We start from the raw sequence: 15,736 nt of genomic DNA on the forward strand, positions 1-15,736 counted from the left end.
CACTGCACTCCAGCCTGGGCAATAGAGTGAGACTCTGTCTCAAAAAAAAAAAAATCTATAGGATTTGTATCCAGAATATTAAAGAATTATTAAACATCAATAAGAAAAATCTAACAACCTAGTGGGAAAATGGACAAAACATACGAAAGGACCATTCACTGAAAAGGAAGTTTGAATGGCCAACCCAAATATATGAAAAATGCTCAAACTTCCTAGTAATTAGGGAAATGCAAGTGAAAACAATGAGACACTATTTCACAATGATCAGATTGGCAAAAACATAAGACTAGCAATATCAAGTTTTGGGAGGACAGGGGAAATAAGAATTCTGATACCATGCCATTAGGAGCAAAACATAAAACACAAACAATAAAAACATCCATCAACTGCTGGATAGTGCTTGCCTCTGCCCAGGGAGGACAGGAAATAGGATGGGGGATGTAGATCCTAAAGGATGTAGATCTTGTATTACTTTACAAAATATCTGAAGCAAATAAGGCACAGTGTCAATTGCTAATTCTGAGTAGAAAGTACATTGATATTTGCTATTTTATTCTCTGTATTTTTCTTCAAATTGAAAACATTTTCTGTGTTTTAAAAAATATGTAAAGAAAGACACTATTATCAAATTTACTTTCTCCTCAACTGATGACATGAACCAATAAATAACTATTGGTGACAATACAAATCCCCAAAAGGCCTTATTGCTGTACATGTTGTCATCAAAGTCCTCAATCGGAGTGGTGGGGGGTCGGGGGATGGGGCATAAATCTAACAAGGAAACTTGCCCCTCAAGATTGAGAAGAATCATTCCTCTGTTCTCTGTTTAGGTTTGTGTAAGCTGCAAGGAGGACCTTCAGAATTGGTGTGTAGAAAATCTTAACCCTTTAAGGGTTCTCAAGTGGTGGAGGAGGGGGGTGCAGAGTAGGGAGACGTGTCAGGATCACCCGGTGATTTTTTTTTTAAAAAGATTGAGAACCAGTGCTCTAGGCTGACTTTTCCTAATTCTACTTTAACTTCATCATGTTTCATTTGTGTGACCCAAATATCCATTCTTGGGGTATTTGAATCAATCAACTTCATATGGTGAGTTCAGTCAGTAGTTGTTTATTGAACACCTATATCATGCCTGGCACTGTAGTCTATTCTGGAGGTATAAAAGTGAACAAGAAACCACTGTTCCAAGGAGCTTAAAATCTATTTGAAAGGAAGCTTAGTGTATAGAGTAACTTATTTCTTCTGTAGGTTAATCAGATTAATGTTTTAATCATGGACTATTGGAGATTGCATTCTGATTTTTCTTTTTGCCAGAGTGATGATTGATGGTGCTCTGTTCATCCTTTAGGGCATCAATAATAAAATCAGCATTGCAACCATTCAGTCCTCAGCACAGTCTATGCCCAGCTCAGAGAACATAGAATGCTGCCAGCTATAACTTTTCATCATTTTCCTCAGAAAGTTTGAGTATGGCTTGAAACAGAAGTCTTCAGTATTTTATACTCTATTAGGGCTGCTGTGTTTAGTTGAGCAGTTTGTACATTGTATAAGGGTATCCAGCTGAGGAGGCAGGAGGAAGCTGAAATTCAGCCTAAGCTCTGCTCTTTTAGCCCTCTATGTGACTCCTTCTGCACAGAAAGACACACTTTTCCAAGTTGTCTGGCCAGAGGGGATGCCTTTTTATAATTTGCATGAAGATGGCATATGAACTAGTGGGTGGCCCTACTGACCACAACAATTTCCTAATTCAGTACAATCCGCAGAGCATATGTTTACTGCAGAGGTATCATTTGGAATACTAGGGACCACATGTTTATCCCAAGAAAGAAATGACTGAGAAAATATATTTATGAAACTTTAAAATGTTAAGACCAAAAAGGATTTTTTAGAAAACAAGTTTAGCCATCTAATTTTCCATGTGTAGAAAATGACTTTGAATTTCAGAACTTAACGGAAAGTTGGAGATCATTATGTTTAACTCCCTCATTTCATAGATGAAGAAATCAGTGCCCTGAGAGGAGAAGCAACTTTTCCAGGGGTCACAGTCACCCAGGTCTCCTAACTCCTAATCCAGTGTCCTTTTGATTTTACTATATTTATCACCACACAGCCAGTTAGTGGCAGAATGAGTGCAGGCCCCAGGCCATTGATACAAGTCAAGTAATATCAAGACAGTTTCCTAATTCAAACACAGGCATCTGCCACTAAAACTGGATGGCTAATCTTACCTTCTCCTTGTGAAGCAAGGAGAATATTGGGCAACCAGGGCATATTTCACCTGTGTCACCTCTGAAGAGCTCCACTTAAGTAGTCATTCTCTCTTCTCTCTGATGTCTCTATATCCTGTCCCACTTCTGAGTTAGGTGCAGGAACTGTGGTTGCTGTGATTGTACTTTCACATGTAATCCACCAGCAAAGATTGAGAAAAATCACTTTCTCTTCTGATATACTCATTACCCTGTAATCTAGGGAAAGCGGAGGGGGTAATCTAATTATCTTAGTCTTACTCTGAACCTGTTGTGTGTTATTTCCCCAGATGGCCAATAATTGGTCTTAGGCAGTGCTTACGTGTGAAGGTGACACATCTCAAGGTGAGCTGTTCTGGTGGGAATTGCTCTCTGGTGGGAGCATGTTCTTACTTCTTCAGGTTTCAGAGAATTCTGGCATGCTGCCCTTCTTTCCAGAGCTAATGAGGCATGGATAACCATTCCTTTTACAGTTGCTCTGTCTGACATGGATGGCATCATTGTCTGGCAACTTGATGAAGTATATATTTTGGAGGTGAATGCATGAGATGTGGGTTCTGATGGCCTACCTCAAGTCCTGGCTTTGCCACATAGTTGGATGACTTAGGCCAGTCACTTTATCCTGTCTGCATCTCAGTCTGTTCATGAATACAATGGACACGATCATACCTGCTGTTTTCCCTTACAAGGCTCTTAGGAGGATCAAATAAGGTAAGGGATGTGCAAGTGCCCATAGTGCCAGAGAGTTCTATAGTGTAAGCATCACTAGGCTCTATAGCGTAAGTCAGAGAGCTGACTGGGGTGGGGAGGCAGAGAGCAGGGTGGGGAGATGAGTGGGATTGTCTATCACAGGGTCCTGAGGCCCTCTTGGGGATTCCTGGCAATGAGCTTTCGAGCCAGGGTTGGGAGGGTAGGTGGGAGGTGCGGAGTAGAGGGATGGGGTTGGGGGACTCCTGCCAGGTGGAGAGGCCCCAGATGCAGCCTCAGCTTCCCACAAGATCCCTAGGTGCTATCAGTATGGGAATGCAACTCCTGAGCATCTGGTACCCATTCTCAGAACTTTTGCCTCCTACTTCTAAGGCCACTCTCATGGGATCCTTATTTTTTAAAAAAGAAGAGCAACAGGGAGTAGGACCTCTCTTGTAGACAGAGAAAAACTAGAGCAAAACTCTTAATGTGTTCAGTTGTGCATGACCAAGCATCTCCACAGAGTTTCAAGAGACGGGAGGCTGCATGCCTTATTCCGTGCTGACCCTTCTGTCTATGAATTTCAGCCCACACCGTGGAGTATTTGCATGATGTTCACCTGAGCTTCTCCCTTAGTGGGGGCGAGCATGGGACACTAAGAATGGAAGATGAATGTGTGTCTCTGACTATGTGTCTTTGTATTCCAGAGCCAAAAAATAAATACCCTGCAATGTGCTTGCTTTACGGTGCAAGCTTCCTTTAATTTTTGGTGTCACTCATCAAGTGTTGAGAGTAATAATTATTTATAGTGTTTATAACTGCTTTTGGCATCATGCTGCTTCAATATTCCTGATAGGGGGAAGGGAAGAGTCCTGTGGAGAGGAGGTGGGTATAAGAAAAAACTGGTTAAGGATTTTAGAGCTCGAGGATGGAAGGAACCTTGGAGAACATTTCTTCTCACCTTTTCTCTCTTCTGGTAAGTGGTCCTCCAGACTCTGCCCAAACACATTCAGTGATGCATAATTTACTGCTTCTCAAGTCAACCTGCTTCCTTTCTGGACAATTGCAATGGGATAAAATAATTTATAGAGTTATGCTGAAATATGCTTTCTTCTATTTTCAATTCTTTGGTTTTAGTTATATCCTAAAGGTATTGTCTCTCTAAAAGGATCAACCCTACATGACGCATTCAAGAGACATTGTCATAATAGTCCTACTGTTGCCTATAGGGATTCAATCAGAGTTTCAGGCATGGTAGAACCTGAAATTTCTCTAATAAGCAGTTTTGTAGATACCCTTTATGAGTTATGTTAGAGGAAGTTTCAGTAGAACCTGCAAAATGGTAAGGAAAGGGAATCCCAGATAGCGGTGGGATCTATAAAATTCAGGAATATTTAAAAAATCCTTAAGACAATGTACAAAGGACCCATTTATTGCCCACATATTATGCCAGACACAGTTCTGGCGCTGTGTCTACAGTGGTAAACACAATAGGCAAAGTACCTGCCCTCCTGAAGCATACCTTTAAATGAGCACAAGACCCCAAATCAAATGAGTAAACTAGTCAGTATCGTAAAGCGATAAACACTATGAAGAAAATGAATAAGGCAATGAGATAGACAGCAACTCTGTGTTTATCTGTAATTTTGAAATAGGAAAATATATCAGATTATTTTTCTTTGTGAGTTATTCTTTGGGAATATAGTTATGGAATCTTTCCCTCACCCAGGTGTAATAAAGATATTCTCCTATGTCTTCCTTGTTTCCCTTCCTTCCTTCTTTCCTTCCCTCCTTCCTTCTTTCCCCTTCTGCCTTCCTTTCCTTCCTCTTTCCTTCTTTTCCCTTCCCCCTTCCCTTCTTTTCTTTCTTCTTGCATTTAATGTATCAGAAGTCTATTTTTATACATGGTGTGAGGTAGGAAACTTATTTTATTTTTCTCTGTAAAATAAGCAAAAGCTTCCAGCAATATATTGTGAATAATATACCTTATTCTCATCTGATCATAGTTTATATATACACATACATACACACATATGTATGTGTGTGTATGTAGATGCATAATTTATAAACATGATTCTGAGCTTTCTATTGTTCTCGTTGTTAATCTCTAAATTAACACTACTGTGTTTTTTATTATCACAGCTTTATCTTATGTCTTAATATTTGATAGGGGAAACATTTACTCTTGGTTTTTCTTTTCCTAACTTGTTTTAGCTATCTGTGAATGTCTTTGTGTCATATAAATTTAAAAATTGTATTAGAAAGTTTTGCCCAAAAACTCTGTGGAAATTTTAACTGGAATTGCATTGAATAGTAGATTGATTTGGGGAAAACTGATATCCTTACAATGTTTGTCATCTGGTTCGTAAATATTTGCATCTTTTTTGTCCTTTAATAGAGCCAAATATTTCTTTTATATTAAAGCAATATAAATATATTATGAAGCAGAATGCAAAATCATCACAAATTTTAAGATAAATAATGGAACTTCAAGGGACTGTTACACTTCCAGTGTATTATAACTCCTTGCTACCAAGGCTTTCTTTTCTTTAGGAGAGATCTCTCTCCTCTGCCCTTGAGACTTGGCTGGACAAGTTTTGCCCTTATACATCATCCTGCAAGCAAACTCTCTCCTGAGTGGTTAAGTAGGTGGCTACTGGAGTCAGATCAGTTGTATTCAAATCCCTAATCAACTATTTATTAGCTGTGTAACCCTGGACAAATGCTTTAACCTTCCCAAATTCTTAGTTTTGTCAGTAGCAAAATACAGAATCAAGTAAGATAATGTGTGCCAAACGTTTAGCAGAGTGCTGGAGATGGAATAAGTGCTCAGCAAATGTTAGTGACTATTATAAGCAATTTTAAGCTATACTTGTTATGCTCTAACACATGGGCATGTGACTGTACCTGTCAATAAAAAAACAGAGAAGAAATATTTGCCCTATCAAACATTAAATGAGGTTTCTGAGGCAACTGCAGTCTAAAGCTATTCCTTGTTCTCTTCAAAATGCATAACTATTAAAAAAATCAAATGTGTGAGGTTAATCTCAATAAGCAAAAAACTAAAACAGACTACAAAAGAGTAAAGTTGAGGCATCTGGTAGGAGAGAAGCTTATACAATATTAAGTTTTTAATAGAAAAGAGATAAAAAGCTTTGCAATGGGAATTGTGAATGATTTTGTGGCCTAAGTTATAATATCCAGAATGAAAGTAGAGGCCAAGAGGCTAAGAGAGAAATCCTATAGTTATTACTTAGCAGAGTTTTCACTACTCTTGGCTTGGGGCAAGGGCAGAAGCAACAGGAAGGAAGGGTTGAAGGGTGTTTTATTATAAAGTTAAGCTGCAGTTGGGCAGGAAACCACAATGTCGAAGACATTCTCTTGAAGGAACTGTTAAGGTAACACCAAGAGCAAGTGATAATACTGAAGTCAGTGAAAGGGACTGCCAATGCAGGAGCTACTTCTTGAATTACCTAAAAAGTTGATGTACCACTCCCATTAGGGGGGATCAGGGTCCACAGATATCAGACTTTTAGGATAAATCAACTTTACTGCCACTGGAACTTTGAATAAACATCCAGGGTTAAATAAATTACTAATCAGTAGTAGTTGAAAGAAGAGGAAGACAGTCTATGCCTGGGGAAGTTTCATTTTAATTTTGAAATCAACAGTTATTTTTTAAAACTGTTACAATGTAAGGGCAGGTAATTTGTGTCAAATGGCTGTTTATAAAACTCTTAATGAAATCATATTTTTATCAAAAATGTATAATTATGATGGGTTCTAACAATGTATTATTTATTATTTCTTTCTCTTATCCATACCAGAAAACAGTTTAACTGCAGATCAAATTGCTAATACGATTAGTGCCTAGTGGAAATAATGAAATTGAAAATGTAAAGAATCAGGAGTACATAACCAGTTTCTAGGGGCATGCATTTATGAATTCAAATTATTAAGAAAATAGCATATATATATATATAGTTGATACACTGGATATTATACTAAGTGTTAAACTTTCCACTGAATCATTCCCATTAGTGTACAAACTTGTTATTTTTTCTCTCATGTAAAAATCAAAATAAACAAACAAAACACCATCTCTTGACTACACTTCCACTTCAGCTGTAGTTCTTTTTCTCTGCAAGCTTCTTTTTCTCTCCAAGCCTCTATAGTGATGCTTATGAGACAACTGTCGTCTAAAATTATTCTCTTTAAAGAGTTGTCATTAATTCTTCTCCCAGGCCTTCTCAACCCTTCTTCAAAAGTTTCTGCTCTTACCAATCCACTGACGCTTTTCCCCTTATAGTCATTCTGTGACAGCCATGCTGTTAAATCCAACTATTTTTAAGTTCTAATTTCTGACTTATTTACAGCATTTGGCAAAGTTGCTCACTCTATTCCTGCAAACATCCTCCTGCCTTGATTTCCAGGATACCACACAAGATTGGGTTTCCTCATATCTTTCTGACTTCTTCCCAGTTTTCCTTGCTGGTTCCTCCTCATCTTCCCAATCTGTGTCCAAGGCTCAGTCCTTGAACATTTTATATTTTGATCAACTCTACCTACATGCTTTGCCCATTATCAAGGCTTTAAGTGCCACATATAAGCTAATGACTCCAAAATTAGTATTTCCAGCTTAGACACGTCCTCTGGATTCCTGACCTAGCTATCTGACTACTTGACATTTTCATATGGATGTCTACTAAGCACCTAAACTTAACATGACCAAAACAGAGCCCCTAATATTCTCCCGAAAACCAGCAACTACTGCATTTTCCCACCTCAGTTAATAACAACACATTCTGCTAGCTTTTGAATGTGTTTGCTCTTGCTTCTCTAGTTCTTTTAATTGTGCAGTTAGGGGGTCAATTTTAGATCTTTCCTGCTTTCTCTTGTGGCATTTAGTGTTATAAATTTCCCCCTACACACTGCTTTAAATGTGTCCCAGAGATTCTGGTATGTTGTGTCTTCATTCTCATTGGTTTCAAAGAACATCTTTATTTCTGCCTTCATTTCGATATGTACCCAGTACCCAGTAGTCATTCAGGAGCAGGTTGTTCAGTTTCCATGTAGTCGAGCAGTTTTGAGTGAGTTTCTTAATCCTGAGTTCTAGTTTGACTGCACTGTGGTCTGAGAGACAGTTTGTTATAATTTCTATTCTTCTACATTTGCTGAGGAGTGCTTTACTTCCAACTATGTGGTCAATTTTAGAATAAGTGAGATGTGGTGCTGAGAGGAATGTATATTCTGTTGATTTGGGGTGGAGAGTTCTGTAGATGTCTATTAGGTCTACTTGGTGCAGAGCTGAGTTCAATTCCTGGATATCCTTATTAACTTTCTGTCTCGTTGATCTGTCTAATGTTGACATTAGACTCTATGGAAATTTTAACTGGAATTGCATTGAATAGTGGGGTGTTAAAGTCTCCCATTATTATTGTGTGGGAGTCTAAGTCTCTTTGTAGATCTCTAAGGACTTGCTTTATGAATCTGGGTGCTCCTGGATTGGGGGCATATATATTTAGGATAGTTGGCTCTTCTTGTTGAATTGATCCCTTTACCATTATGTAATGGCCTTCTTTGTCTCTTTTGATCTTTGTTGGTTTAAAGTCTGTTTTATCAGAGACTAGGATTGCAACCCCTGCTTTTTTTTGTTTTCCATTTCCTTGGTAGATCTTCCTCCATCCCTTTATTTTGATCCTATGTGTGTCTCTGCATGTGAGATGGGTCTCCTGAATACAGCACACTGATGGGTCTTGACTCTTTATCCAATTTGTCAGTCTGTGTCTTTTAATTGGAGCATTTAGCTTTGTTCTTTTGGCTTAGGATTGTCTTGGCAATGCGGGCTGTTTTTTGGTTCCATATGAACTTTAAAGTAGTTTTTTCCAATTTTGTGAAGAGAGTCATTGGTAGCTGGATGGGGATGGCATTGAATCTATAAATTTCCTTGGGCAGTATGTCCATTTTCATGATATTGATTCTTCCTATCCATGAGCATGGAATGTTCTTCCATTTGTTTGTGTCCTCTTTTATTTCATTGAGCAGCGGTTTGTAGTTCTCCTTGAAGAGGTCCTTCACATCCCTTGTAAGTTGGATTCCTAGGTATTTTATTCTCTTTGAAGCAATTGTGAATGGGAGTTCACTCATGATTCGGTTCTCTGTTAGTCTGTTATTGGTGTAGAGGAATGCTTGTGATTTTTGCCCATTGATTTTGTATCCTGAGACTTTGCTGAAGTTGCTTATCAGCTTAAGGAGATTTTGGGCTGAGACAATGGGGTTTTCTAGATATACAAGCATGTCATCTGCAAACAGGGACAATTTGACTTCCTCTTTTCCTAATTGAATGCCCTTTATTTCTTTCTCCAGCCTGATTGCCCTGGCCAGAACTTCCAACACTATGTTGAATAGGAGTGGTGAGAGAGGGCATCCCTGTTTTGTGCCAGTTTTCAAAGGGAATGCTTCCAGTTTTTGCCCATTCAGTATGATATTGGCTGTGGGTTTGTCATAAATAGCTCTCATTATTTTGAGATATGTCACATCAATACCTAGTTTATTGAGAGTTTTTAGCATGAAGGGCTGTTGAATTTTGTCAAAGGCCTTACCTATTGAGATAATCATGTGGTTTTTTTCTTTGGTTCTCTTTATATGATGGACTACTTCTATTGATTTGCATATGTTGAACCAGCCTTGCATCCCAGGGATGAAGCCCACCTGATCGTGGTGGATAAGCTTTTTGATGTGCTGCTGGATTTGTTTTGCCAGTATTTTATTGAGGATTTTTGCATCGATGTTCATCAGGGATATTGGTCTAAAATTCTCTTGTTTGTTGTGTCTGTGCCAGGCTTTGGTATCAGGATGATGCTGGCCTCATAAAATGAGTTAGGAAGGATTCCCTCCTTTTCTATTGATTGGAATAGTTTCAGAAAGAGTGGTACCAGCTCCTCTTTGTACCTCTGGTAGAATTTGGCTGTGAATCTGTCTGGTCCTGGACTTTTTTTGGTTGGTAGGCTATTAATTATTGCGTCCATTTCAGAGCCCGTTATTGGTCTATTCAGGGATGCAACTTCTTCCTGGTTTAGTCTTGGGAGGGTGTATGTGTCCAGGAATTTATCCATTTCTCCTAGATTTTCTAGTTTATTTGCATAGAGGTATTTATAGTATTACCTGATGGTAGTTTGCATTTCTGTGGGATCAGTGATGATATCCCTTTTATCATTTTTTATTGCATCTATTTGATTCTTCTCTCTTTTCTTCTTTATTAGTCTTGCTAGCAGTCTATCAATTTTGTTGATCTTTTCAAAAAACCAGCTCCTGAATTTATTGATTTTTTTTTGAAGGGTTATTTGTGTCTCTATCTCCTTCAGATCTGACAAAAAAGAGTCTGCATTGCCAAGACAATCCTAAGCCAAAAGAACAAAGCTGGAGGCATCAGGTAGTTGAAGCTACCTGACTTCAAACTATACTACAAGGCTACAGTAACCTTGTAGTATACTACAGCATGGCACTAGTACCAAAACAGAGATATAGACCAATGGAACAGAACAGAGCCCTCAGAAATAATACCACACATCTACAACCATCTCATCTTTGACAAACCTGAAAAAAACAAGAAGTGGGGAAAGGATTCCCTATTTAATAAATTGTGCTGGGAAAACTGGCTAGCCATATGTAGAAACTGAAGAGGGATCCATTCTTTACACCTTATACAAAAATCAATTCAAGATGGATTAAAGAATTAAATGTTAGACGTAAAACCATAAAAACCCTAGAAGAAAACCTAGGCAATACCATTCAGGACATACGCAAGGGCAAGGACTTCATGACTAAAACACCAAAAGTAATGGCAACAAAAGCCAAAATAGACAAATGGGATCTAATTAAACTAAAGAGCTTCTGCACACCAAAATAAACTACTATCAGAGTGAACAGGCAACCTACAGAATGGGAGAACATTTTTACAATCTACCCATCTGACAAAGGGCTAATATCCAGAATCTACAAAGAACTTAAACAAATTTACAAGAAAAAATCAAACAACCCCATCAAAATTTGGCAAAGGATATGAACAGGCACTTCTCAAAAGAAGATGTTTATGCAGACTGGATTTTGTTCTCCCTTATTCTATAAATAGAATTCTATTATAGAGACAAGTTGAAATAGATCTCAAATTGTTGCCATTGTCACAGCTGTAACTTGTGACTGATGTGTAAAGAACCATTACAAGCTGGACTCTAAGAGTGATCGATATAGCTTTCACCTCTGATAGACACTAGCCAGAATCTCTTCCATTATGGTTACCATCAAAGAGAGGTACAAGGTCAGAAATCAAACAACAATGATACACTACCTTTCCCTAAATATAATGAATAGACTAGGGAACTATTCTTAATAATAAATAATTTATTAATTAGAACATATAAGTGAATACAGAAGACATTTAAAAGTAAAAATACAAAGGAATAATTTTATTCATGCAGTGCTTTCATAAAAGGTGAGTATAATCTCAGTCCATGAGGGTGTAAAGTGAAATGAGCTGGCTGGCTGGAGACGGACAGGGTGCCAGAGACTACTAGCCAGTCAGGGTCACAGCTGTATTGGTCGATTGCTGGGTTCCTGTTGGCTTGGTCTGGATCATGTTATTTCTGGTGTTGGATTTCCTGTCCATGCTCCTGACCACGTCTCTCACCCACGTGGCTTGTGGATCAGCACAGACTTTTAGGCCACGTTTGGTAATAAAACTGTAACGCAAGGAAAAGACAGATGAAGTTAGCCACGTTCTCAAAGCCTCAGGGTCAGGAGTTAAGATCAGGGCAGACATGAAGAGATCTTGTGCAGAAATTACTGCAAGAAATAGTCTTTCAGAGCCATGAGATCATAAATGAGCACCCTTCTTCTGCCATCTATTTTAACATAAAGGAGAAATATCTGCAAGTAGTATCCAGCCCCTTTGTTCACCATAATTCACAGGCTCCTTTTCTCATCCATGTCACCAAATGTTGTAACAAAAAGACATTTGAGGCCATCTAGTTCCATTATTATATAACCTCTTCCTTTTCAAATTTGAAAATACTCATCTTATTTTTTTTAAAAAGGTGATTTTTACATTTTCATTCTTTAGAGCAAAGCTTGCAATATGTATTGGGAAGAGTTATTACTTCTAAAAATGAGATTCTGGTAGAAGAAAGGGACCATGTAGGTTGTGCATTGACTCATTTTCTTGAAATATGGCAACTGATAAAGTATGGGACTCTGCCTAACTCAACCCTAAGATCCCCCAACTCCAGTGAGGCTTGCAGGGAAACCCTGACATGAGCCAGCCATCTCTAAACCCAGATCTCAGAGCTGTGCACAGTATTCAACAGACTCTTCCACTAAGACAAATAGAGGAGGACTTCTATTCTTTCTTTGGCAGCCCAATTTCTGCAATAATCGCTATTCGGTTGGGCTGCAGAAAGACATGGTTGATAAGGAAAACTAAAGAGGTTTTTGGTTAAGTTGAGGTGTTCCTCTATGCTGACCTACTTTTCCTGAGGATGGCAGCATTTCTATAGAGTGTATTTCTATACCTCTAGGTACCCACCCAGCCCAACTTCTGAGGAGGCAGACTCACATTACTGCTCTCAAGGAGCCTTCCGTGATGGTGTAGGTCTTGATTCTGCTAACTGGCAGTCGCTGGGTAGTGAGGCTCACACAGGTCCTCCTATGTGAGACTTCACTCCCTACACCTGATGAGGAAAAAAAAACAACAGACAATTAAAAATAAAGCAATTACCCAGATCACAGGAACAATCGTCTGTTAAATTACTCTGAGAATGTTGTGAGAATATAAGGCCATTTGCTTTTTGGGGGAAGAGAGGACTGATAGGCATCCCGAATCTCTTGCCCGTCACAGATTCTTAGTAAATATTTGACTAATTTAAAAACTCAATCAACAGAATTGTTTCAGGAATTTCATGCTGAGAGAAAATAACAAGATGTTATCCCGTCTCTGTGTATATTTTCACTTAGACATTTGGGACGGCTAGCAAATGCCCCAGTGACACGCATTCATTCATTTATACAATGGTGCCTGTTGTGTCCCACATGTTTTATTAAGACAGACATTATCCCTGTTTTCATAGAGCATATCTTCTCATGAGGGAGCCAGGCAGCAGACAGGCAAACAGAAAAGATCATTTCAAATAGTGCAACATGTTACAGTACCATAAGTGAGATGACAGAGTAATGCGTGAAGAGTACTCTAGGCAAGGCAACATTCAGTGAGGGAAGGAAGCATGCTTTTGACTGAGTAAATAAAGGTGTTCCCCTTTTTAAATGGTCAAATTTCCCTCTCTGTCAGCTGCCTAAGATGCTGAAAAGAAAGAAGGCCAAAGGAAAGAAGGTGGCCCAGTCCCTGCCGTCGTGAGGAAGCAGGAGGCTAAGAAAGTGATGAAACCGCTGTGTGAGAAAAGGCCTAAGAGTTTTCTTAGGCAGGCATTGGACAGGACATCCAGCCCAAAAGAGACCTCCACTGCTTTGTGAAATGGCCCCGCTATATCTGGTTCCAGCTGCAAAGAGCTATCCTCTATAAGCAGCTGAAAATGCCTTCTGCCATTAACCAGTTCACCCAAGCCTTAGACCCCCAAACAGCTACTCAGCCACTTAAGCTGATCCACAAGTACTGACCAGAGACAAAGCAAGAGAAGAAGCAGAGACTGTTGGCCCAGGCTGAGAAGAAAGCTGCTAGCAAAGGGGTTGTCCCCACTAGGAAATCACCTGTTCTTTGAGCAGGGGTTAACATCATCACCACCTTGCTGGAAAACAAGAAGTCTCAGCTGGTAGTGATTGCACATGGTGTGGACCCCATCAAGCTGGTTATCTTTCTGCCTGTCCTGCGTCCTAAAATGGGGGTCCCTTATTGCATTATCAAGGGGAAGGAAGGCAAGACTGGGACATCCAGTCCACAGCAAGCACTACTGTCGCCTTCACACAGGTTTTGTATTGAAAACATTGATTTGCTCCAGAACATACATCCTCTGGTGCATCCCCATATTGTAACTGAACTCTCTAAGATTTTGATAATTTATCAAACTATATATTAAATGGGCAAAACCTACAAATGCATTTATAATCATCACCTCTAATCCATAGCTAACATTAATCAAAAAATTACTGCTTGTAAGGAAATCTGATGTTATTAAATAAACCATAATATTTATTTAATCTTAATCTCAGGTGATCATGTCTCTTATTCTATTCAGTTTATACATAAATAAGCACAGGCCCTGAGTGGTTAAGGAATTTACCTGAAATTACCCAATTAGGAAAAGTAGGAGCCCAGATACTAATCAAATTCTCCCTGTTTTGGAAGTTTACGAAGCCCTCTACAGTCAAAATCATCATTCCTTTCTTGCACATGGGAAGTTTAAGGCTCCCCTGGAGACAGCAGTTTAGTCCAGTCAAAACCCGAGTCAAACCCAAAATGTGTGCCCACCTGCCTTGCCTCCCTATTCTTTATCTCACAGACAGCTTCTCCACTTACCTTCCACAATGTATGCAGTGAGAGAGCAGATGCCAAGGAGGGCCAGGATGAGAAGTCTCATGGCTGAGGTCCCGCTGAGCTGTGCAGGGAGAGTGAGGATCGGGCTCTTTGAGGATCTCTTTTATGCCTCCAATGGTCAGTGCACTTCCTGTGGTGAGAGGGGGCTTTCGAGGTGGGTATAGGATCATGGAAAGTCTTTGCAATACTGATGCTTTTATTTTTCTTAAAAAAAAAAAATGTCCCTTTCCCTGTTCATACTAACCTATCGCCTTGTGGCCTTTACCCCTTTGTCTGTGGTTAATGTGTCAATTAAACCAAATGCATGCATAAAAGAAAACGTGGTTGTGTTGTCTCCTGCCACCAGCCTGAATTCAGATCTTCCACCGTAGACATGCCTGAAGGCTGTTCACTGCCATGGCCCACCACGGAAGCTGTAAAGGAAATGAGGTGGGGTGGTCACTGTGTTCCATCCCACCTCATGTGACATCCAGTGTGACATGAGGCTTCCACAACCATGGATCATGAGTCCCTGATGCCACCCTTTGACTCTCTCAGGAGGGGAAGAGAGGCTGCTGCCACACTGAGCTTCTCGATCCTTTGCTTTCTTGGTTCTCATTTTTCTCCTCCACCTTCATTCAAGTCACCCCCCTTTCTTCACCCCATCTCCCCAGGTACCCAAGAAACAATTAAATAACTGTTTAAGCATGTCTACATGCATGTGTTTGCTTTATTACAACTTAACATACACATTTATAGAAGCTTTTGAAAAGCTGTGCTGTACCAATTTATTTCAAATTAAAAAAGAAATAAAATTATAATCTTACCATCTGACAGTTTTCATTTTCAATATTTTTCCAGTGAATCTGCATTGGCATACATGTGTTCTCATAATTGTGGTAATTTTAAATGCTGTTTTAACACCAATTTAAATATCTTCCCATTTTTTTAGCCTTCATATTTCTACTTCGAGTAAATATATACACATACAAATTAAACCATTTTCTTATAACTTATTATAAAGATCAGAACTATAAGGTCGATTTCATTAATATACACTGAATTACTTCCCTTTAATAACCAGGAGTAGGATTACTGGGAAAAATGATATGATCATCTTTATAGCTCTTATTATATATTGCCATATAGTCTCCCAAAATGTAATTTTGATTTGCAATACTCCCAGTAGAATTTAAATATACTGATTGCACTGGAACTTTTCTGCCACTGAGTTTGTTGTGTGGTGGTTGTTCTTTATTTTACATAGGTATCTATAAAATGTATTTAT

The 15,736-nt window shown here is 39.0% G+C and overlaps 1 protein-coding gene and 1 pseudogene across 1 annotated transcript; one reads left to right on the forward strand and one right to left on the reverse strand.

Annotated features, from left to right (window-relative positions):
- Nucleotides 1–11,315: 11,315 nt before the first annotated feature.
- Nucleotides 11,316–14,545, reverse strand: XCL2 (X-C motif chemokine ligand 2). Its single transcript, NM_003175.4, has 3 exons — nt 14,452–14,545; nt 12,541–12,655; nt 11,316–11,668 (listed from the first exon to the last, which is right to left on the reverse strand). Exons 1-3 carry the CDS (start codon nt 14,510–14,512, stop codon nt 11,500–11,502), a joined length of 345 nt encoding a protein of 114 aa, NP_003166.1. The 5' UTR covers nt 14,513–14,545; the 3' UTR covers nt 11,316–11,499.
- RPL7AP19 (ribosomal protein L7a pseudogene 19) lies at nt 13,254–13,904 on the forward strand (annotated as a pseudogene).
- Nucleotides 14,546–15,736: the final 1,191 nt, after the last annotated feature.

The sequence above is a fragment of the Homo sapiens genome, chromosome 1, assembly GCF_000001405.40.
Source record: "Homo sapiens chromosome 1, GRCh38.p14 Primary Assembly".
NCBI lineage: Eukaryota > Metazoa > Chordata > Mammalia > Primates > Hominidae > Homo > Homo sapiens.